The sequence below is a fragment of the Homo sapiens genome, chromosome 17 (genome assembly GCF_000001405.40).
Source record: "Homo sapiens chromosome 17, GRCh38.p14 Primary Assembly".
NCBI classification, from domain to species: Eukaryota; Metazoa; Chordata; class Mammalia; order Primates; family Hominidae; genus Homo; species Homo sapiens.
In genome coordinates, this window is record NC_000017.11 from 32695411 (window position 1) to 32721340 (window position 25930).

Sequence of the window (25930 nt, forward strand, 5' to 3'; positions counted from 1 at the left end):
GGGATTGGGGACCCCTGCCTTAGATTACAGCAACAGGCTCTTAATTGGCCATCCTTCCTTGTCTTATTGACTTCTAATGTTTCCTTGACACAGATCTATTTAACAGTCACAAACTGACCACACCACTTCTCTCTTAAACTTCCAGTAGGACTTCCAATGAGTAGGGCAAGAAGGTAGAATAGATAACTTGATATCCCTACTGCTACAACAATGTAACAAATACCCCTATGCACAGCTGAGCTTGTAAGAAAGTAACGGTCATATTCAGGGATCAAAATTTGATTGGCCAAAATTAAAAAATCTGCCAATGTGAATTGTTGATAAGGATGTAGAAGAATAAAAGCTTTCATACATTTCTTGGTGAGCATAAACTGGTACAATTATTTTGGAAAGCAACTGGGCAAACTTTAGTGAACTTAAAAATGTGCAGACTCTACAATCTAGCATTTGCAATCTGGGGTATATACCCAAGAGTAGCAGTTCTCAAAGTGTGGTTGGGGAACCCTGAGCACTGCTGAGACCCTTTACTTTTAGGGGATCTTCAAGATAAAAACTAATTTTCTAAGAATACCAGCAGGTTATTTGCCTTTTAAATTCTCACCCTCTCAGCCTATGATAGAATTTTCCAGAGACTATATCACATGTGATGACATCATCACTCTGATAGCTAATGGAATATGTGCTTGCATATTGTTGCATTTTGTAGAATTTTCTAAGGTAAGCTCTTTAGAATTCTCAAAATTTGAGAATGGCAGCCCCACAGAGACCTATTCACTTGCAGACAAGAGAATATGTACAAAAATGTTCACTGTGGCATTTCACAGAATGACAAAAAACTGAAAAACTGACTATTATTAGGAAATTAACTGTGACTTTTAAATAGTAAAATAACAAGCAAAAGTAAATAAGCCATTAGTACACTTATGGACCTATACAAATTTTAAAAACATTATTCTGAGTGGAAAAAAAAACAACTTGCAGAAGACTATGGACAGTATAATGTGGAAACAGAATATTATACACTATGACAAAAAAAGTATAACCAAATTAGAGGCTGCCAAGCTCAACTAGTAGTTAGTAATGAGGAACCTTGACAGAATGGGAGTTTGTTGATCCAGGTGCTTTAAGAAGACAAGTCCTGAGCTAGCTCTTTACATCTTGTTAGATAAATAAGGAAAGGGTTAGTAAATATTTATATACCTGTTATAAAATTCAAGTTATTCTAAGTTTAATTCTGTCCTTCTACGTGGCACTGCTGCCACATGTGTTTGCTTGCTAGTTACCCATTTGGCTGTTTGCTATGCAGGGCAAGCACTTTCCTGTGATATGGAAAGGCTGTTTTAGTAATTCCAAAGACTAAGACTAGTCTATGTTTGTTACAGAAAACAATATTTGTTTGAATATTTTTGTAGAAAACTTTGCTTTCTACATTTGTCAAAGGAAGTCCATTTTACCCACTAGCTTTAGTGACAGTTAACCCACTATAATGTCAAGTTCCAGCTCTAATTAACTCAATCTGTATAAATGGCTTATGAAATACAGATTAAGATCTGTCCTCCCTGTTAATGTGTTTCCAAGTAAGATGTGAATCTAACAGAGTTAATTAAGATTTTGGCAAACTTCTTCCAGAAAGTGTCCTCTCCCCAGCTCAGGTAGGTGCCTCTTCTCTGAGCCCACCTTGCAGTCACTGCCTACTACCCTAGGGCCTCGTAATTACTCCATTTCACTGGTTTGGGTGCACACATCTGCCCCCTGGCTGGGTTGTCAGCTTCTGGATGGAGCTTTGTCTTGTTCCTTTTCATGTTTCCATTCAGTAATGAATGAACAAATCCACATTTATTACTCATTTTAAAATGCATGTGAGCACCTTTTCCTGCATAGCCACATGTCACAGTGTTGTAAATGCTACCCATTTCTTCTCACAGCATACTGGAAAAATACGGAGTCAATGGCCACCATTCAATCAAAGGTACGCTTTTGTTTCTTTCAACACTCAGTCAAGACCAAGCAGCATATTTTTGACCATAAATATTCCCCATCAATAAAGCAATGAATGGACTAGCATTGGGGGCAACCTCTTTCATTGCCTAGTAGCATACCCCAGCTTCCTGTTTCAGCTGATGCTTTCTTGGTCGCTTTGTAAATGCACCTTTCCCAACCTAGCCATAGCTCGAAAGTCACTTTTTCCAAAACAAACAAAAATCTCTTCTCCTGGAGCATGTATTTTCAGTTAAAAAAAAAAAAAAGTCATCGATCACTTTTTGTTACTATACACGTGTCAAGAGCTGATTCATACATCAACATCAGGGTTTTTTTTCCAATTGTATTACTGTATCTTAGTCCACATACTTGACAGTGAATAACTCAGAAGACATTACCACTTTACCAAGGCTATTTAATAAAGCAATTTTGCAAATTGCATTCTGCTTTCTTTGTGAGCATGATGCACATCACCTTTGAGGACATCCTCTGAACACATCACCTTTGTGACTAGTTTTTCAAACTTTTCAATAGTGTGAGTCATAGCTGTTTCTTGAATGATGCCACTATGGTACAAAAGTGTACAGCAGTCAAAAGAGTGTGTGTGGGAAGCAGGCCTCTTAGGTTCAAATCCCAGCTCTGGTGTTTACCGTGTGTGACCTCTGCCAAGGTCCTTAACCACTCAGTGGCTTTAGCTCCCTTATCTATTAAATGGAAATAATAATGGACACTCATTCACAAGGTTCTTGTAATGACTTAGTTAAATAACCAGAATAGTAAAGTATCCAGAGTAGTGCCTATCACTCAGGAAATACTAGCTACCATATCAGTAGGTTTTGTGTTTTCTTTCTTTTCTCTTTTCTTTTTCCTTCCTTCCTTCTTCCTTCCTTCCTCCCTCCCTTCCCCCCTCTCCCTCCCCCTTCCCTCCTTCCTTCCTTCTTTCCTTCCTTCCTCCCTCCCTCTCTTCCCCCCTCCCCCTCCCCCTTCCCTCCTTCCTTCTTTTCTTTTTTAAGGACAAAAGTAATCAATTTTATATGAGAAATAATTATTTTGCTTTTAGTCTTAGAAATAAAACACTTGATTGGTTTTACAAAGAAGTCAGAGTGCTTTGTTTAGAAATCATATGAAAGCCCCCATCACTTCATGTCTCTATCTGACAGTTTCCTAACAAATAAAACATTAGGCAAATGAATGACAAAACCAATAAAATCCAATTTTCAGATAATGATTCTATTCATACTTTTTCTTTTGGCTGGTTTACAAAATTATCGTACTCACTGAAAATGATTACACTATATTAATCTTTGAGTCTACTTATAATTAACAGTTATTATATTATTCTCAGTTTCAGAATTTACTATTTTCATTATATGTTTATGCTTTAATGAGCCACTTTTAATCCTTCACAAGATCTTTCTTGTGATAAGGGAGCTAAAGCCATAATATAATCCAATAATAAAAAATGCAAAATGCAAATTTAACAAATAAATATAAGAACATATAAATAATATGAAATTGTTAATTTAGACAAACTAAAGACGCCACTCCTTGCCATACATAAGCCACATTTATTTTATTTTAATTTTAATTTTTTTCAAGACAAGTCTTGCTCTGTCGCCCAGGTTGGAGTGCAGTGGTACCATCTTGGCTCACTGCAACCTCTGCCTCCGGGGTTCAAGCAATTCTCCTGCCTCAGCCTGAATAGCTGGGATTACAGGTTTGTGTCATCACGCCCGGCTAATTTTTGTATTTTTAGTAGAGATGGGGTTTCACCATGTTGGCCAGGCTGGTCTCGAACTCCCGACCTCGTGATCCCCCTGCCTCAGTCTCCAAATAAGCACTGGGATTACAGGCATGATCCACCGTGCCCAGCCCATAAGCCACCTTTAAAACATTCAATTTTTAAAGATGAAATGATATGTCACTGAAAATCATAATTAATATTACATATCAAGTTTCTGAAATATATGGGAACAAAACTCCCAAATGACAGAGATAACTGTCAGACTGCCAGGAACCACTCACTGCCTTAGGTGTTGATGCTGCCCTTTGATAAAGATGAGTGTGCTCCTTTCTCAATGCTGTCTCAGCTCTGGGGGTGGCCACGCCTATCCCTAACCATCTGTGAAAAGATAGTTTCCAGTCAACTGGGAACAATGAACAGAAACTATTAATTATTAATTTTATATGGTATGATAACAGTATGAAGTCCTTATCTATAAAGTCCTTATCTGTAGATTGGTATTTAAGGGTGACAAAAGATATCTGGGATGTTCTTTAAAAACTTCAACCAAACCAAAACAAACATACATAAAAGCATGAGGTGGGAATTAGATAAAATAAGAATGACAAAATATTGTTAATTGTTGAATCTGGGTGATGGAAACATGGAGATTCATTAAACTGTTCTTCCTATTTTTGTGAATATTTGCAATTTTCCATAATAAAAATATTAAAAAATAACATATACCTTATTTCACATTATACTCACAAAAAATCACTGTACACCAGGCCCTAAAGTAAACCTCAATAAATTCCAGAAAGTAGAAATGGAACATTTAACATTCTGTGATCATAAAGCAGTGAAACTAAAAAATTAAGAACAAAATTAGAAAAGTAAAGAAAATACACACACAAAACATGTATCACCTGGAAATGATTTAAAAAAATTTTTTTAAACAACTTTCAGGGAAAGAGAAAATGTAAACATAAAAAATAATTAAATAATAATATATCAGGTCCTACAGATCAGCAGTCTCCAACTTTTTGGCACCAAGGACCAATTTCATGGAAGACAGTTTTTCTATGGACTGGGAGGTGGTAGGGGATGGTTTCGGGATGAAACTGTTCCATCAGATCATCAGGCATTAGATTCTCATAAGGAGTGTACAACCTAGATCCCCTGCATGGGCATTTCACACACAACAGGGTTCCTGCTCCTATGAGAATCCAATGCCGCTGCTGATCTGATAGGCCGCGGAGCTTGCTTGCCCTCTGCTCATCTCCTGCTGTGGGGCCCAGTTCCTAACAGGCCACGGACCAGTACCAGTCCGTGGCACAAGGGTTGGGGACCCCTGCTACAGATACAGCAGAAGCAGATCCACAAAAAATTTCACAGTTCATTACTAATAAATGTGAAAGAAAAAACTGAACGAAGTGTTCAACTCCAGAAGTTGGAGAAAGATAAACTGATTGCCTCTGCTCTTTATATTCCAAAAAGGAGAGGAATTGATGAAGATAAAAAAATTAACAAATTAGAAATCAGAAAATGGGCTGGGCACGGTGGCTTACACCTGTAATCCCAGCATTTTGGGAGGCCAAAGCAGGTGGATCACTTGAGGTCAGGAGTTCGAGACCAGCCTGGCCAACATGGTGAAACCCTGTTTCTACTAAAAATACAAAAATTAGCCAGGTATGGTGGTGTGCGCCTGTAATACCAGCTACTTGGGAGGCTGAGGCAGGAGAATCGCTTGAACCCAGGAGGTGGAGGTTGCAGTGAGCTGAGATCACGCCATTGTACTCCAGCTTGGATGACAGAGTAAGACTCCATCTCAAAAAAAAAAAAAAAAGAAAAAAGAAAATAGTAGAATAAATAAATCAGAGGTGATTTTTTGAGGAAAAAATAATACAATACATCATTAACTAAAGCTGATAAAGAAAAAAGATAATAAGCATAAATGAAATTCACAAAATAAGAAATGGTAAGAGGGAATGACTACAGATTCAAAGGAAATGAGAAGAAAATGTAAGAGACTACTTCGTTCAATTCTGTTCAATTAAATTAGAGAATCTGAATGATTTTCTAGGAAAATATAAATTACCAAAATTAATCCCACAAAATAAAAACAGATCAATTATCACAAAGAACTAGAGTAAGCTGTTGAAGAGGTACACTCCAACAAATACCCCCTTCCAGATGGCTTCACAAGGGAGTTTAACCTCAAAAGATTAACTCCAAGGCTATTTAGACTGTTCCAAAATACAGACAAAAAAAGAAAAGTGTCCATTTTATCTTGTTAGGTAAACATCATATTGCTATCAAATTGGTTAGAATTCTCTGTATTGATAATTCAAGAGAAAAAAATGACATAAGCATCTTGATATCTGTTGAAAAGTAATTTGATATAATTCATCTATTCTTGATTTTTAAGGTACATTACTCTTTTTAAAATTTATTTCATTTTTTTTTAGAGACAGGGTCACACTCTGTCACTTAAGCTGAAGTTCGGTGGCGCAATCATGTCTTACTATAGCCTAGAACTCCTGGGCTCAAGTGATCTTCCTGCCTCAGGCTTCTGAGTAGCTGGGACTACAGGTGTGCTCCACTATGCTCAGTTAATATTTTATTTTTATTTTTGTAGAGATGGGGTTTCGCTGTGTTGCCCAGGCTGGTCTCGAACTCCTGGCCTCAAGTAATAGTCCAGCTTTGGCTTCCCAAAGTGCTAGGATTACAGGGGTGAACCCCCATGCCCTGCCAAAGTACAGTACTCTTAACACAACTGGAATAGATGACTACCTTAGCATGTCTGCATGTTCAAATGTATCTATGTCAACCAGTATCAATCAAAAGTAGAAACCACTAGAAACATTTCCCTTAAGTGCAGGAATATTTCAAGGCTGTCTAACATCATTGCTTAAGGAAAGCTCACAAGCAGGCTACACAGCAGCCTGGCTCCTCCCCATAACATGCCTGCCAGTTTGAGGACAGTGGCCCAGGAGAAGTACAGCTAATCCTGATATAAGAACAGAAAAAAATTTTCCCATGAACCAGCACAAAAATGATGCTGAGTTTTACATGCTTCTGTTATTTCCTTTCCCACTATTATACTTGTGTGCATATATGTACGTGGTGTGCCTGTTATTTGTATATACATTATGCCTGCACTGATTTATTGATAAAATCACATACCCTATTTTTGAATATTTTCATAATATTAGTTTGCTAGGGGAATGTCAAATGTTTATTATTTTGAATTAAGAAAAGATCCCTAACTACCCTATAATTCCACTTTGAATTCCACATAAAATTAGAAACAATCATATAATTTTAGCCTATATCTTGAATATTTTATTTCACTAGCTTGAGGCTTTTTTTTCCCTGTTCTTGGCTTTATCTTTTTCATATCTTTTTCTCTTTCACGTCTTTCCACAGACTTTCTTCTCCACTCATTCCTTTGTCCCTCCTCGCCCCCCAGTGCTATTCTGCTTTTGGAATTGCATCAATTTTGCAATGATTTAATAATCAAATTACTATCATCCTCTAATTAGGAATCTACCAGATAGGCAAAAATACATTCTGGGGACTGAATGCATCTGAATATTTATAGCAAGTATTTCTATTATTTCCTATAAAGACATGTCTGTAGTTTCACACAACTACAATGGAAGACTGCCAACTGACTTCAAATTCAAGCTTGACTGTGGACCCCACAGTTCACTGTATCATGGATGCTACAAGCTGCGAGCCACAATTAGGCCTGAAATAAAAACTGGAAAACTCATAGCATGGAACATGGAGCAGGTAAGGGGTAGCATAATTTAAATTTCCAAAGAGTTGACAGTTCTTGCTGCTGTAGAATTCATAAGCTGTAACTGTGATGCTAAGTTACCTACAAATTGCTCAGAGGAAAATGATTAGAGTCTTAAGATATTACCATTTTGAGAAATAATTTATATGTTTAGTAGCCTTCAGTGAGTGACAGAGGAAAGGCCTTGCCCTCTTAACTACACTGGAAGAGCTGTTTCCATTCCTAGAGCTACAATCAAAGCTATGCAATCTGAAATGGTCCAACTATGTGACACAGTGAGCAATTAAGATCTCTGTCTATAATTAATTATAGATGCCCTTTAAAAAAGGCCAAATCCCCCAAATAAAAACAATTCACAAAGGCACCTATTTGTGTTATAGGTGGGTCAAGAAATCTATTCTTTCAATTTATCTACCTGTCCAAATTTGTTGTTAATGGACACAAAAGACAAACTTTCTCAATTCTTTTCTATCTCCCTTTGAGAATCCATTCTTAACATAACTTTATATATAAATTTTGATCCCTTTTGCTTGTTTTTTTTTTTTGAGATAGGGGTCTTGCTATATTGCCAAGGGTGGTATTGAACTCCTGTGCTAAAGTGATCCTCCTGCCTTAGCCTCCTGGGTAGGTGAGATTACAGGTGCATGCTACCGTGCCTGGCTATTGACGATTTTGATCTTGCCCTATGATTCCCTAGAATGAGAACATAACTATAAACTATATATCTACCAAAAAAGAAAGGAAGTTTTTTGAAGGTTTTCATATCCCATTCCTCTTCCGAGACAACAAAATATTTTAGTCTGAATGGTTACAGAATATTAGAGGATTATAAATCTTTGTTATGCATTTGGTACATTGTTTTCATTAAAATTTGGCTAATTGTTAATTATTAGTTAAAAGTTAAAACTACAGTCTTCTTTCAGGATTTCCCCAGCCATGCAACAAATAAGTGTCCTATTTTCTGGGAATTAATGAATATGACACATAGAAGATGAATGATAAATCCCAAACCAGAAAGGCCCAGGTTGAAGAAGAAAAAAAGCTAAAATAACAAAATCAGTGTGGACAGATTTATCTCATAATACGCTAAATCACTGTATACTTCAACTCAGCTCCATCCACGTGTTTGCTGCTGAAATGACAACATAGTTTACTGATTTCTTAGCACCTCCTTTCTTAAAGCTGTAATTTTGAAAACTTATATAGTTTCTTCAGTGCCTTCTAGAAACACCATCTTAGTGATTTCTCATTCAAATGTGATATAAGGAACACACACACAAACTCAAATGTAGAGGGTATATGGGTAAGTGAATCAAATGTGCATTATGAAAGGTAGAGAAGAATGACCTTTATAAAAATCTCACTGGCTACATTGATTCATTTCTTTTAATGGGTATAGTATAACTGGGGCTTTTTATAAAACACATTTTTCAATATTCAGACAAAACATTCAGGTTTTCAGTCATTCACAAAGAGTGCTCTAAAAAATGAAAATAACCAGTGCATCAGTGAGACAAACTCCTTCCCACATTAGTTGGTGGGAACATAAATTGGTACAATCTTTCTAGGGGCCATTTGAAAATGGGTATAGAAAACCTTAACAGTGTACATCTTTTAAACCAACAATTTCGTGTCTGAGAATTTATTCCAACAAAATAATCAAGGATATTTAGAAATAGTCAATGGTAGTAGTAGCAGCACTAGTAGTAATAACAGCAGCTAACATTCACTGAATTGTTAGTACTTGTCAAGCACTGCTCTAGGTAAACGGGGATGTGCACTGTAATGAGACCTGTGAGAGTGAAGAATTGGAAACGCCTAAATGCCTGGTAATAGTAGACTGATTGAGGAAATGCAGATTGAGGAATCCTATGAAGGACTAAGTCAGCTATTACAAATATGCAATAAATGTGTAGAGAGTAAAGATATAACAAAAAAGTATTACACAACAGTGATGTAACAATTTAAATTTGCATTTAATATAAAATAACATATTTTAAATAATATAAAATTATATTTTTTCATTTTTCAACATGAACTTGTATTGCTATAAATTATCCACTATAAAATCAATAAAACAGTTTTTGCAATCTAGATGGTTATTTCTTTAAAAAAAGAGATCTTTCTACTCATTTCACAAATTCCTTACAATATCAAATACACGACTGAGTACTGTTGACCCTTAAACAGCACAGATTTGAACTACGTGGGTCCACTCATACAGATTTTTTTTTTTCACCCCAATGCAGATAGAAAATACAATATTCACAGGATGTGAAACCTGTGTATACAGCGGGCTGACTGTATACTAAGAGGAACAATATGCACTAAACAGATTATCTGTAATTCTTTTTTTTTTGAGATGGAGTCTCACTCTGTCCCCCAGGCTGGAGTGCAGTGGCACGATCTCAGCTCACTGCAAGCTCCACCTCCCAGGTTCACGCCATTCTCCTGTCTCAGCCTCCTGAGTAGCTGGGACTACAGGAGTCCACCACCATGCCCGGCTAATTTTTTGTACTTTTTTTTAGTAGAGACGGGGTTTCACCATGTTAGCCAGGATGGTCTAGAACTCCTGACCTCGTGATCCGCCCGCCTTGGCCTCCCAAAGTGCTGGGATTACAGGCATGGGCCACCACACGTGGCCGATTATCTGTAATTCTTGATACTGAGTAGTTAATGGTTTAGATGATGATAGTGGAAGACTATACATTTTTTTATGCATCGGAAAGTAACACAGTTTGTATCTCTCTAAGAACGATAAATTTTGGAGGTTCTGGTTTTAGTTAATGATATGGTTTGGCTGTGTCCCCACCCAAATCTCATCTTGAATTGTAGCTCCCATAATTCCCACATGTTGTGGGAGGGACCCAAGTGGGAGGTAATTGAGTCATAGGGGCAGTTTCCCCCATACTGTTCTCATGGTAGTGAATAAGTCTCATGAGATCTGATGGTTTTATAAGAGAAAATCTGTTTCACTTGGCTCTCATCTCTCTCTTTGCCGGCCACCATGTTAAGACATGCCTTTCACCTTCTGCCATGATTGTGAGGCCTCCCAAGTCATGTGGAACTGTGAGTCAATTAAACCTCTTTCCTTTATAAATTACCCAGTCTTGGGTATGTCTTTATTAGCAGCATGAGAACAGACTAATACAGTCAACATTCTTGACTGAACCTTCTACAACTTACCAATAAATCTCTAATTTTTTGGAGACAGAGTCTCACTCTGTCATCCAGGCTGGAGTGCAGTGGCACAATCTCAGGTCACTGCAACTTCTGCCTCCAGGTTCAAGCAATTCTCGTTCTTCAGCCTCCTGAGTAGCTGGGATTATAGGTGCACGCTACCACAGCAGGTTAATTTTTGTATTTTTAGTAGAGATGGGGTTTTGCCATAGTTGGCCAGGCTGGTTTTGAACTCCTGGCCTCAAGTGATCTGCCCACCTCAGCCTCCCAAAGTGCTGGGATTATAGGCATGAGCCATTGCACCTGGCCTAAATCTCTATTATGGCACAGAAAAGGTATGAAAATACACTTAAAGCCAGGTTCTCAGATATTAAAATCTATTATGCTGTACTATAACAAAAACAGCATGGTACTGCCATAGGAATTGACTGTAGAATAAAATGGTGAGTCCTGAAATACATTCATGAATGTATGGAAGATTAACACTGAACAAAGGTGGAATTTCAATTTAGTGGAAAAAATAGAAATGTTTAAATAAAATTAAAACAGCTAGTTATTCGCCTGGGACAAAATCATGTACAAAAATAAATTCCAGATCTATACATTTTTTTTTGTTAAGATGGAGTCTCACTCTGTTGCCCAGGCTGGAGTGTAGTGGCGCGATCTCAGCTCACTGCAAGCTCCGCCTCCCGGGTTCACGCCATTCTCCTGTTTCAGCCTCCTGAGTAGCTGGGACTATAGGCACCTGCCACCATGCCTGGCTAATTTTTTGTATTTTTAGTAGAGACGGGGTTTCACCGTGTTAGCCAGGATGGGCCCGATCTCCTGACCTTGTGATCCACCCGCCTCGGCCCCCCAAAGTGCTGGGATTACAGGTGTGAGCCACTGCGCCCAGCCTCCCAGATCCATAATTTTTTTTTTAAGAAACCCAGATGCTATGAAGAAAAAGACAAATTTCATTATATTGAGAGTGAAAATTTTCACATCGAAGAGTTTACGATTAACAGAGTCAAATGACAACTCTAACAAAAATAACTGTAATACATAATATTAATGCATATTATATACAGATAGCTCCCACAAATTCATAGGAAAAGGATGAACAACCCAATATAAAAATGGGCCAAGAATATCAATAAGTCACAAGAGAGGCAATCCAAAAAGCCAATAAGCACACACTCAAGGGTAGTCATGGAAATTAAAAAATGTAGAAATAAGGTATTATTTCTTATTGATCAGAAGGGAAAAAATTAAAAAGCCTGGTAAAAGCCACTGTGGTCAAAAATTTAGAGAAAAGAGTTCACTTGCATTGTGGGTTGAAATATGATTTCTTAAGATTAAAACCATATATACTCTTCAACTTAACAATCTCACTCCTGGGAATTCAGCGCATAGAAATGAAGGCACCAGTATGGAAGGCTACATGTATAAAGATGTCTATTAAAGTTTAGGGAAGACTAATGGGGGTCCCCATAAAAGAGTTTACATAGCAGGCCTGAGACTACTATGCTTACAGTGGTCTGTCTGTTGGTCCTTGGCTGGTGTCTGGGAACTTGCTGGTCAACAGCTCCCTACGTTGATACAAAACTTTCCCTAAGTAATAAGATTGGTTTACTGTGTTTAAACTATGTTTATACAAATAATGTAGATTGTGCTGAATATCTGATTTCCCTTCTGAGAATCTGGAATTTTGGTACATGATAGGCAGAAGGTGCCTAATGACCAGTTCCTGGTAAAAACTTTTGAGTACTGAGTCTCTAAGGAGCTCCCCTGGTAGACAACACTTGGCATGTGTTGACACAGCTCATTGCTGGAGGAATTGAGTGCATCTGGTGCCACTCTACTGGGAGAAGACTCTTGGAAGCCTGCTCCTGGTTTCCTCTGGATCTCACTCCTTGTGCATTTTCCCTTTGCTGATTTTGCTTTGATCCTCTCGCTGTAATAAATTCTACTCATCAGTACAACACTATGCTGAGTCCTGTGAATCCTTCTAGTGAATCATCAAAACAGGATAGTCTTGAGGACTCTCGACATAGGGGGTGAGAAGAAATGTGGGCAGAGAGGAAAAATGTGGGGAAAAAAGATAGTACAAAGTACTGCAGAAAAAGATAAAGTTGATCATAGAAATACACTCATATGAACTATGATCTTCTTTATATTATTTTAGATATGTTTGTCTATATGCACAGAAAGATATCAAAAAGGATGGCCACCACAATGTTAATGATGTTACTTCTGGATGGTGGGGTTTTAGGTGACTTTTTCACATTTTCCCTTATATTTTTTGTATGCTTTAAATTTGTTCTTACAATGAGCATAATTTATTTATATTATCAGTATAGCTATTTTTATTTTAAAAGGAAATAAAAATCAATTGTTGGAGATTCTTGTTTAAAATAACAGCTCCTGATACTGTCTCTCCTAACTTCCCATTAAATTTCTATAAGGATACAGAAAAAGTAAAAACACACATCACATGGTTAGGTGACTGATGACCCATTCCGAAAAGCCCAGAGAAATTTCCTCCAATTTTATGGCCTGTGGAGTTGATCCAAAAAAACATAATCAGTAGGTCGCACATAAGATACCCTGGAATGGTCTTCTTGAGCATAGGGAAGGAGACCCTTATATTCCCTACTCCACTGCCTCATGGTGAAGAAATGCGAGATCTGTCTCACAGAGAAGACTGGACAGCTTTCCCTTCACTGCATATGTGATAATTTTTGAAGCCACTGTCCCTTCTCTTTTAGAATCTCTTTCCTAGACAGAGACTAATTTCTCACCAGAAAAAAAGCAGAGGTAGGGACTGGTAATGGCACCCTGCATTTCTAGAAGCACAGTGCTGTCAGAGAGAACCAGGAAAGGAAGAAGCCTAGTGGCTGCAGCCCTAGTAGCACACCTGGAATTACATCTTTTTATATATGAGCTGGGCTCATCTTTGGCTAGCAGAGCTGCCACAGACTGAAGTCTGTGGGACACTGACAATTGTGAAGGAAGTAAACAAACTATCGCTGTAGATTTAAAAAGAGGAATCTACCGGGCACCATGTAGAAAGAAAGTGAGTTCCAGGGTAGAGTGATTATGTAGTTTATCCATACTGGAACACTTTGAGAGTAAAAGGGGTACTATTAATAGTCACAACAGGCAATTGCCATAAACCAGGACTGTCCTAAGCAAACTGAGAGGTATGGTCACCCTGGTTCAGAGTCTAACTCTGAGCTTGAATCAATCAATCTCTTGAATAGGTAGAAAGAAAAAAAGACATAGTAACAGATCTGGGGGCAGAGGAATCTACCAAAAAAACCCTAAAAACAAGCCTACAGGTAAGTACTTGAGATCCAAGGGTAAGGACTCCAGGACTTGAAGACAGAGAAGAACAGATACTTGAAAATAATTTACTATGGCAGAAAACAGAGATCCAACAGAAACATTTACAAGCATTCTTGAGAAATAGAACTGAATGAAAGCAACATTAAAAAAAAATTAATAGAAGGAAAATGTTTTGGGATGAAACAGAATTTAGTATTCCAGTCCAAATGTTTTCCTGAGCTCTAGGCAAAATAAATAAAAAGAAACCAACACTTAGAAACATCTTGGCAACTGGAAGAAAAAATTCATTATTTATACATGATATAATTATTTACCTAGGAAAGCCAACAGAATCAACAAATATAAATCAAGAAAGGTTTTGTTCTAGATTTAGATAAAGCAACATAAATCAATATTATTTCTCTGTACTAACACTGCCATGTAGGAAACATAATAAAAAAATTCACCCCAGCAACAAAAATAATAAAGTATCTAGGAATTAACCATGAATTCATAGGGCCTAAGTCTAAAGTTCAATAAAGATGATTTAAGTAAACCTATATTACACTCTTAATAAGATGATTTAATATTGTAGAAATGTTAATCATTTCAAATTAATCTATATTCAGTTCAATCCTAATAAAAATTATTGAATTTAATAAACTTATGCACTTAAAATGTATACTGCAGAATAAAGGTCTATGTATAGGTTAATCAACCTTAATAAAGAAGTAGAAAAGATAAACTAACCCTCTAACACACTAATATATATAATAAAAGCTGTGTTGCATTAGTGCAAAAACAGGCAAATAGAAAAATGGAACAGAATAGAGCACACAGAGACAGGATGTGTGTGTAAGTGTGAATAAAACTATTCCCTATCTACATACAGGAACTTAATATATAATAAAAGTGGCACTGCAAATCAATGGGAAAAGGGCAGATTGCTTAGTAGATGATATTGAGAAAACTTTCTCACCATATGGAGAAAAATAAAACTAGTTTCCTATATAAAACCATGTATGAAGGTGGATTCTAAATGAATTAAAGACCTAAATGTGAAAGGTAAAACCATACAGTTCATAGAAGAAAATACAGAATATCTTTGTGACTGAGAGACATGAAAAGCCTTCTTAAAGAAAATTCCAAATCACTAACTATAAGGCAAAATATTGAAGACTTTGATTATGTCAAAATTAAGAATTCGGTCCACAAAGCATCTTATGGATAAAGTTCATTAGAATGCTTACAGAATAGGAGAATATATAACATCTAAAGTAAATAAGAGGTTAATGTTTGGAATATTGAAGGCATTTCTGCTAATCAACAAGAAAGTACCAGCTCGAGTAGAAAAACAAAGTATGAATAGACAGTTTACAGGAAAATACAGCAAGCAAAGAAGCATTTAATGAGATAATCAAACTCAAAGGTAATCAGAGAAATACAAAGTAAAACAACAATGAGATATCATTCTATCTATTAATCTGACAAAATTTAGGTAGCTGGAAGATACTGGTAGGGATATGGCACATAGTAACCCTCATATACAGCTGTTGGCGGTGCAAACTGGCTCATGCAAGATAACCTGGCACTATTTATATCAATTAGGTATACACATGCCCTATGACCCAGCAACTTTTCACCTAGGTATATATCCCAAGGACATCCTCACAGAGGTATATGATTTTTCATATAGCTCTACAATTTTTTGCATTATTTTAGTTCATATGGAAGATATGGGAAAGGGTATGGGGGATACAAAGAAATACATGAATTAGTGAATGAAATGAGAAGGGGCCTTGCACAGATCAATGATGACAGGTACAGCACCATCAACTAACGAGCATTGAGTCAGCACTGAGGTCAAGTGGTGGTGAGTAGGTAATGATAGGTGAAGGAGGCAATTTCAAACATGTTGGCAACATTTTTTACTTACAAGATTTAAAAGTCCTTTACGCAGCCGGGCGTGGTGGCTCACGCCTGTAATCCCAGCACTTTGGGAGGCCGAGGTGGGCAGATCACGAGGTCACGAGTTCGAGACCAGCCTGACCAACATGGTGAAACCCTATCTCTACTAAAAACACAAAAATTAGCCAGGTGTGGTGGTGTGCGCCTGTAATCCCAGCTACTCGGGAGGCTGAGGCAGGAGAATCACTTGAACCCTGGAGGTGGAGGTGGCAGTAAGCCAAGATTGTGCCACTGCACTCCAGCCTAGGTGACATAGTGAGACTCCGTCTCGGGGGGGAAAAAAAAAGTCCTTTATGCATTTAAGCTGAAGGAAAAAACACAGTTAACAGTAAAGGACAGAAAGACTGGTTCAGACATCTCTCCAACTTTAAAAACAAAATATCTTCAGAGTTTTGAAGATAAAATAATTTTGAACTTGGGCAAAAATAATTTTGAACTGGGGCAACCAAGTAAGTTTTCCATGTGTGAAGGCAACAGAAAACATTTTAAGATATGCATAGACATAAAACAACATATCTTCCAGGAATATTTCTTGAATTAAAGAAAATATGCAACAAATTTTTAAGAACTTAAAAGCAAAATCTTATCCTTATATATAAAATATAAAATTACCTTTTGTAGAAAGAGGACAATCCTTATGAGCATCTGGGCACGGAGTTCTTCCAAGGTAAACAATGTTCGGGGTGTTCGAATGAAAATTTTGGTCTTCCCATAAGCTACATCATCCTGAAAACCACACCGTTCAATTAGTTTCTTGACAGCCTCTTTGTCTGAAGGAAGGTCATGGTTGGGCCAGGTGAATTCAGAGATCATCTTATACCTGGATGAAAAAAAGAAACAGGGTTAAGGGAGAAAACCATATGGTCATCTCAATAGAAAACTATTCAATAAAATGCAAGACACCTCATAGAAAACCAAATCTTAGCAAACTATCAATAGAATTTCATTAGCCTCATAAGGTATGCAAAAAAGGCTTCAGTAAAATAAAACACTTTAAGATAACAACTCTTACTAAACTAGGTATAGAAGGGACTTCCTCAAGCTCATACAGTCTATTTGCCAAAATCCTACGGCAAATATTGTTCATAAAGGGGTAACCTTAGAAACATTCTTTTTACAAACAGATACAAGAGAAGGGTGGCTCTGTCATGGGTCCTGCTCGGCATTGCTCTGGAGGTCTAGTCGACATAGTGAGACCAAGACATAATTGGTAAATGACTGACAGAAAAACAAAATGGATACTACTTATGTATAATGTAACTTTCCTCAAAGGAAATCAAGCAGATCTCTAGATAAAAAAACTATTATAACTAAAAGAAAATTAAGCAGTGTTGCTGCACATAAGAGCAACACACAAAAATTAATTGCATTTCTACATACGAGCAGTCAACAGCTCCTTGTCATGTGGGCCTCTCATTAAGGCAGCTCACCACACAGCGGCTTGCTTCATGAGTGTGAGTGTGAACAAGACAGAAGTCACAGAGTCACAGTCTTTTGTGGTCTAATCTCAAAAGTGACATCCTATCACTTTTGCCATATTCTACTTTGTCAGAAGCAAATCACTAGGTCTAGCCTACACTCACAGGAAGGGGATTACACAGGGCATGGATACCAGGAGGTAGAGGGCATCTTAGAAGGCTATCACAGAGCTTTTTCCATCATGCAAAGTTGTTTAACACATGTAGTCAAATTTAGTTTTTTTCTTATATTACATCTAAATTTTAAGTCATTGTATGAAAAGCTTTCTTCACTTGGGTTATAGAGTAATGCATTTATGTTTTCTTCTAGTACTTGTATGTTTTCATTTTTCACATTTAGATTTCTGATCATTTAGAGGGTTTTTTTGGTATATGGTGTGAGGTATGGATCTAATTTTATCTTTTAACAAATGGCTGTCTAGCTGTTCCAACACTATTAAAAAGTCCATCTTTCCCCTCTGTGATTAACATGCTGCCTTTATCATATGTGCTTCAGTTTATTTCTGGACTTTCTGGTCTGTTTCATTGCTGTGTCTGTCCATCTGTGCATCACTACCACATGGTTTTAATTATAGAGGATACAAGTACATTTTAATGTTTTTCCTAATTCTTTTCTTTTTTAAAGGTCTTTCTAGTTATTCTGGCACACATATTTTTCCAAATGAACTTCAGAATCAAGTTTTACAGTTCCAGGCAAAAAAACCAGAATTCAGTGAATAAACAATTTTTAAAGACCCAAAGCACCCTTGATAGATTTAGTGAGTTGGAACATTAAATACATTATTATTATTATTATTTTGACACAGAGTCTCGCTCTATCTATGAGTGCAGTGGTGCGATCTCAGCTCACTGCAACCCCCGCCTCCCGGTCCAAGTGATTCTCCTGCCTCAGCCTCCTGAGCAGTTGGGATTACAGGCAACTACCAAGCCCAGCTAATTTTTTTGTTAACAGTAGAGATGGGGTTTTACCATGTTGGCCAGGCTGGTCTTGAACTCCTGACCTCAAGTGATCTGCCCGCCTTGGCCTCTCAAAATGCTGGGATTATAGGCAAGAGCCACTGCACTCAGTGAATCCATTAATTTTTATATGGTGTTGAGTTGTCCTATTCAAGAACAAGAGATGTTTTCCCACTTGATCTAGTCTGCTTTGTGCCTTACATGAATCTTTAAAGTTTTCTCATATGTCTTTTCTTTCTTTTTTTTTTTTAATAATTATTTTATTTTTAAGTTCTGAGGTACATGTGTAGGATGTGCAGGTTTGTTACATAGGCAAATGTGTGCCATGGTGGTTTGCTGTACAAATCAGCCCATTACCTAGGTATTAAGCCCAGCATCCATTAGCTATTCTTCCTGATGATCTCCATTCTCCCACCCCCACCCCAACAGGCCCCAGTGTGTGTTATTCACCCCGATATGTCCACGTGTTCTCATTGTTCAGCTCCCACTTATAAGTGAGAACATGTGCGGTTTGGTTTTCTGTTCCTCTGTTAGTCTGCTGAGGATAGTGGCTTCCAGCTCCATCCATGTCCCTGCAAAGGGCATTACCTCTTTCCTTTTTATGGCTGCATAGTATTCCATGGTGTGTATGTACCACATTTTCTTTATCTAGTCTATCATTTCATTGATGGGCATTTGGGTTGATTCCATGTCTTTGCTATTGTGAATAGTGCTGCAATGAACATACCTGTGCATGTATCCACAAAAACAAGCAATGGGGAAAGGATTCCCTATTTAATAAATGATGCTGGGAGAACTGGCTAGCCATATGCAGAAAATTGAAATTGGATCCCTTTCTTATACCTTATACAAAAACTAACTCAAGGTGGATTAAAGACTTAAATGTAAAACCCAAAACCATAAAAACCCCACAAGAAAATCTAGGCAATACCATTCAGGATACAGGCATGGGCAAAGACTTCATGATGAAATCACCAAAAGTAATTGCAAAAAAAGCAAAAATGACAAATTAAACTAAAGAGCTTCTACACAACAAACGAAATTATCATCAGAGTGAACAGACAACTTACAGAATGGGAGAGAATTTTTGCAATCTATCCATCTGATAAAGGACTAATATCCAGAATCTAAAAGGAAATTAAGCAAATGTACAAGAAAAAAAAAATCAAACAACCCCATTAAAAAGTGGGCAAAGGATATAAACAGACACTTCTCAAAAAAAGACATACATGCGGCCAACATATGAAAAATAGCTCAACATCACTGATCATTAGAGAAATGCAAATCAAAACCACAATGAGATAACATCTCACGTCAGTCAGAATGGCAATTAGTAAAAAGTCAAGAAACAACAAATGCTGGCAAGGTTGCAGAGAAACAGGAACACTTTTATACTATTGGTGGGAATGTAAATTAGTTCAACCATTGTGGAAGACAGTGTGGTGATTCCTCAAAGATTTTGAACCCGAAATGCCATTTGACCCAGCAATCCCCTTACTGGGTATATACCCAAAGGAATATAAATCATTCACAGGGCTTTTCATATTTCTTGTTAAGATAGTAGATATGTAGGAAGCATCTGTTAATTACTCCCTAATTACAGTTAATTACTTCCTTCTTCTTGACATATCTCTTTTCTTAGATTCCATGACAGCATGCTCTCCTTCTGCCTCCCTGGATATATCTTGTCAATCTGATTTTCTGGCTACTCTGGCTACTACTATACCCCCAAATGCAGGCGTGTCCCAAGCCTAAGACCTGGACTTCTTTCTATGTATTCTCTCCCCACATTACCTCATCTAGTCCACTTACTTTTAATAAAACATTCCAAATATAAAAACAAAAATATGTATATTTTATAAGTATATAAAATATAAACATATATTTTCAATTTGTGTGTTATCCCTAGTCTAGCCCTCAGTTATGAGCTTCAGATTTATATATCCAATGTCTATACAGGTCTTGAAGGCATCTTAATTACTCCTTCAGTCTTTCCTACCTCAATCTACCCAGTTACTAAAGCCAGGATCCTGAGAATATTTTTATTCTTTCCCTGCCCTATCATGATTTCTAATCCATCATCAAGTTCTATTGACTCTACCTCCAAAATATATTTAACAATTCTCCTCATCTTTATTGCTTCAATTCAAAGGCAAGCCACCTTCTAGTTTACAACAGACTCCTAAATTATTTTCCATTTCCTTTCCAATCCATTCTGCATACATCAGTCAGAGTAGTTTTCTAAAAAGCTTGAAATCATTTTTGTCTTTGGCTGCTTTCCTTCCTCACTATCCATCAATCATGTTAACTTCTTTGGGGTTCTGTAATGCGGTTGCCTCCTTCCTACTTCAGGGTCTTTGCACATGCTGTTCCCACTGCCCGGAATGCATTTTATCTAGTCCTTGAAAGTCTGGCTCCTTCTCATCCTTTAGTCTTTTCTTGATCTTTGTATATCAACAAACCCTCTACCCCCAATATTCTCTCTAAGGCAACTAGTTTTATTTATTCTTTTCTCACATGATTTATCACAACTTGTAATCATACTGATTTGTGGGTTTATCTGCTTAATGTCAGTCTCCCTCCCTAGTCTGTGGCTAATATGAAGGCAGGGACTTTGTTTTGTTCCCCACTATATACCATGTGCCTATCATGTTGCCTGCCATACTATGAGGCAATAGATATTTGCAGAATGAATGAAAAGAAATCATTTAAAGCCTACTCACTTGCTAGATGGGGGCAGAGATCAAAGCCAAATGAAAAAGTTTTAATATAAAGACAGAGGTAATACCAAACAATGTCACATGAAAAAAAGTGAAATCAGAAACCTCTCAAATTTGTTACACCAAACTATAGTAGGGGTCTACATCTGGGTCATCATATGGGTAGTGCTGGTGTTGTTTGTTTCAGGCACGCTTCAGAAACTGGATTGCTATCCTACAGCCCCACTGCTCAGCTCCCATGGCAGGCAAGAGGCACTCTGCCTTCTTTCATGCCAGCAAACTGCATGACCCTGGTTCTCTGGCAAACCAGCAATCTGAACTTGCTAATTAAAAAGTTGAACTCATCTGCTTTCTGACAAGGAGTTTTACCTCCCTAAAGGACTTTAGTAGCTTTTAAGGTTATCAGCATGTTTTAAATCCTTCTCTCTTTTCTCAGTAAAATAAATGAAAATGAAGAAAAGTCACAAGCAAAAATTCAGGTTCAAACCTAAACTACTTGCAAAAAATCTGCAGAATCTAAAAGCAAAAATTCACTGTAGAAAATATTATCTTTTCTCTCATCATCACTGGATGAGCCACATAAAAGGGGAATAATGTATACTCCTCAAGTGGTTGTCAGTTCCAGTGACTTCCTATATGTGAAATGTTTAAATCAGTATCTAGTACATCCAGTAAACATTTCAAAATATTCACAACTATTATTATAACTCACTTGAAAATTTCAACACATAATTCTTTTCCTGTCTAGTTAATCACGGTCTATAATATCCTTTCCATAAATAGGACAAAATCTTTAATTATCTCTACTTCTCACTCCCATTTTAATTTTTGTTCCAGATTATCACTAAAGACTTCTTCCCCACCCTTACAATCAGTACTTGTTTAGATTTAACAAAAAGTTTTACAGATTTCTTTGCTCAATGTTGCTTTTTTGCATATATCCTGCCACATGTTTCCTTTCTGCATTCATCTTTCTTTTTGCTGAAGTATATCCTCTAGAAGATTTTTCAGAGGGTCTATGAGTAATAAACTTTCTCAAACTAGGTATGCCAGAAAATGCTGTTTATTTTACTCACACTCTTGAATGGTATTTTGACACAGAATACAATTCTAGGCATGAAAGCCCTTTCCTTACACTGTGAAGGCATTTTGCTCCTTCGTCTACTTGATCAAACGTTCATGAGGAACCAGATGTCAGCGTGATTCTCACTCCCCAAAGGCAGTTTGTCTTTTTTTCTTGGGAGCTATAATTATTTTTCTTTAACATTCTAAAAGTGAACAAATGTATTTTTAAGTTTTTAAAAAATTCTTATGCTTGACAATCAGTGTATCCTTTTAATCTGAAGATTCGTCTTTTTTCAGTTCATGCAAATCCCTGGCCACTGTTCGAATAGTGCCTCTCCCCTATTCTTGGTGTTCTTTCCTCTAGTCCTTCTGTTACATGGGTTTTGCTGCTCCTGGATCAACCTTACATGCGGCTAGACCTTTGTTTAATACTTCCCATCTTTTTTTCTTTGTGATGAGATCTGGAACAAGACTTCAGCTTGATCCTCTGGCCCACTAATTTACTTTTTAAAAAAGTTTAGTTTTTAAAAAACATTTTAAAAATTGTGATCAAATTTACATACACTAAAATATACACATTTAAGTATATAATTCAAGTATATAATTCAAGTTCTGACAAACGTGTATACTCATGAAACCGACACCCTGATCAAGATATATCATCTCAGAGAGTTCCCCCATTCTGCTTTCTAGTCTGCCATACAAATAGCTAACCACTATTCTGATTTCTATCACCATAAATTAGTTTTGCCTGCTCTTGAACTTCATATAAAGGGCAGCATAAAGTTGCTACACTTTTCTTCTTAAAATGCCATCTTCTGGCTGGGCGTGGTGGCTCATGCCTATAATCCCAGCACTTTGGGAGGCTGAGGCGGGTGGATCACCTGGGGTCAGGAGGTTGAGACCAGCCTGGCCAACATGGTGAAACTCTGTCTCTATTAAAAATGAAAAAAAAATTAGCTGGGTGTGGTGACGCGCCCCTGTAATCCCAGCTATTTGGGAGGCTGGGGTGGGAGAATCGCTTGAACCCGGGAGGTGGAGCTGCAGTGAGCTGAGATGGCGCCACTGTACTCCAGCTTGGGTGACAGAGCAAGACCCTGTCAAAAAAAGAAAAAAAAAGCCATCTTCTCTTGGCTTCTGTAACATAATCCTCTTCTGGTTTTTCTTCTACCTTATTGGTTGCTGCTTCTCTTATCTTTGCTGGTTCTTTCATGCCAGACCACAAATCTAAACATTGTCATGGACCTCCTCCTCTTCACTATCCAGTCCCGAGACTTTCTATGTAATCTATGTTACCAGTGACTCCAAAATCTCTTATTTGCAGCCTAAACTTCTTTCCAGAACTCCAGGTATGAAAGTCTAATGGCTTAATATTTCTGCCTAGATACTTAGTAGGCATTTCAAAGTGAACATAGAGATGTGTCAAAGTTAACATAGTCAAGAGAATAATCTTGATTCCATCTTTACTCCTGTTCCACATCCTGTTCCTCAAAATTATTTTACCCAATTTTATCTCAGCAAATGGTACTGTGCTTACCTAGATGCTCAAGCCAAAATATAATTTTCATCCTTCATTCCTCTTTATTCCTATTTCATCATATCCAATCCATGAGAGAGTCTTGTCAACTTTATCCCTCAAACATATCCCAAATCTGTCCACTGCTCTCATATCTATAATAGTCCCTTACTGAAGGCACTGTCATCAAGCCCTGTTTCCTGGACTCCTGCAATAGCATCCTTAAACATCTCCTTGCCCTTTTTTTTTTTTTTTTGAGACGGAGTCTCGCTCTGTCACCCAGGCTGGAGTGCAGTGGCATGATCTTGGCTCACTGCAAGCTCCGCCTCCCAGGTTCAGGCCATTCTCCTGCCTCAGCCTCCCCGAGTAGCTGGGACTACAGGCGCCCGCCACCACGCCCGGCTAATTTTTTGTATTTTTAGTAGAGATGGGGTTTCACCTTGTTAGCCAGGATGGTCTAGATCTCCTGACCTCATGATCTGCCCCCCTCAGCCTCCCAAAGTGCTGGGATTACAGATGTGAGCCACTGCGCCTGGCCAACATCTCCTTGCCTTCTATTCACACAGTAGCCACAGTGATTCCTTTAAGACATCCATAAGGTTATGTAATTCCATGCTTAAAATCCACCAATGGTTTTGTTTCTTTGTTTTTTAAATCACGCCTAGCCAAAATCTAAATAGTTTAGTCTGATTACAAAGTTTGACATGATTTGGCTCTTGTCCATCTCTCTGATCTCATCTCACACCACTGTCCTGTCAGTGTCCTCCAACCACAATGGACTACATTTGGCATCTAAAATGCCTCACTTACTACCACAATAGAGCCTTTTCCCTGGCTGTTCCCTCTGCCCCATCTTCTCTTTGCTCTGATCTTTGTATGGCTGGCTGCTTCCTGTCATTGTCAGCTCCTTAGAGACTCTTTTTTGACCAACTAATCTAAAGTATTTTAATTTTCTGCATTTTTCTTATTTATATTTTATGTAAATTTATATTTATTCATTTTTGGGGGGAAAACTATAGTCGAGATTATAGAAAATGTTCAATAAGTGTTTTAAAACAGATGGAATTTAAAGCATTCTTGTGATTCCAAGTTATCAATTATCATTATCATTTTTTTATATGACATGGTATCATTAAGCAACATTATCAACAATAAATTAACAATAGCAACAATATATTACACTTATTGAGTGATTACTTTACGGAGGTACTACTATTCCAAGTGTTTTGTATATATTATCTTATTTAACCCTCTAGCAATGCTTCAAGGTAGTTATTATTATTATCCCCATTTTACACATGAGGAAACAGGCATGAAAAGGGTATGTAATTTGTCCAAAGTCACACAACTGAAAAATGACAGAGCCAGGAATCAAACCAGGCAGACTGATTTCAGGTCCTCCATGCTTAACTCCTTAATATTTTATTATTATGATAATTACTGACACCAGTAATGATAGGCAGTGTTAATTAAATAGCTATGATGTACCAGGAATCTAGGCTTTTTACTTAGGTTAATTTCTCATAACAGTCCTATGAAATGTTATTTTACTTATTTCACAGATGCAAAAACAGGGTCATAGAAGTTAAATTTCTGGCCCATGATCAAGCAGCAAGTAAGTGGCATAATCAGAATTCCACCCACAATGTGATTTCAGATCAGTGCTCTTTCTGCTATGCTATGATGCCAGTATTTCCTCCCAAAAGGCTGAAACTTTTTCATGGTCCATAAACCATGAATTCAGGGACTCATGTTGAAACTGGGAAAGTCTTTCATATTTGTAATTTCCTCAGCTCTTTTGTTCACCCAACAAATATTTATAGATTGCCTAATATGTGCTGATGCACTATTGTACGGGGAGGACTCCCTTATTCTCAGTGAACTAGGCCTCTCTGACGAGTCTATTCTCACCTGTGAAGAAACTTCTCGTATGTCTGGCGGAAGGCAAATCCTGCCCGACGCACTCTCACATTTTCCAGTAGTCCAAGATATTCTACTTGGTGCCGGCAGCGTTCATCATCAAATATCTGTGGAGATTTCTTGTCATTGGGTTTGATGCAACGAACGTAATATGGTTCCTAAAGAAATAAATCAGCAAATGGTAAGTTTCACTGGAGAAAATTTCCCAGCTAGGGACACTAACATGTAATTAGTGTTAATTGTGTCAAGTTAAGCTCAGTGCCTCTAATTTCTCAGGCATACACTTGTGAATAAAGTAGTTATTCTTCC

General features: G+C 37.5%; 1 protein-coding gene across 5 annotated transcripts in view, besides 1 other annotated feature; it reads right to left on the reverse strand.

Moving 5' to 3' along the window:
• The window catches only part of MYO1D (myosin ID), a 384603-nt gene that overhangs the window by 202889 nt on the left and 155784 nt on the right, over nt 1–25930 (reverse strand). For all 5 annotated transcript variants that reach the window (XR_001752521.3, NM_015194.3, NM_001411088.1 and 2 more), the window contains 2 exons: nt 25613–25779; nt 16578–16785 (listed from right to left, as the gene is read on the reverse strand). Coding sequence is in view for 4 of the 5 variants with exons in the window: in NM_015194.3 (NP_056009.1) it covers nt 16578–16785; nt 25613–25779 (375 nt within the window). In the remaining variant the exon portion in view is untranslated. The remainder of the gene's footprint in view (nt 1–16577; nt 16786–25612; nt 25780–25930) is intronic.
• Nucleotides 3920–4120: a silencer, noted in NCBI's record as "peak2803 fragment used in MPRA reporter construct". NCBI's record gives its function as "represses an SCP1 promoter by STARR-seq MPRAs in K562 erythroleukemia cells {active_cell/tissue: K562}" and the evidence as "EXISTENCE:reporter gene assay evidence [ECO:0000049][PMID:32103011]".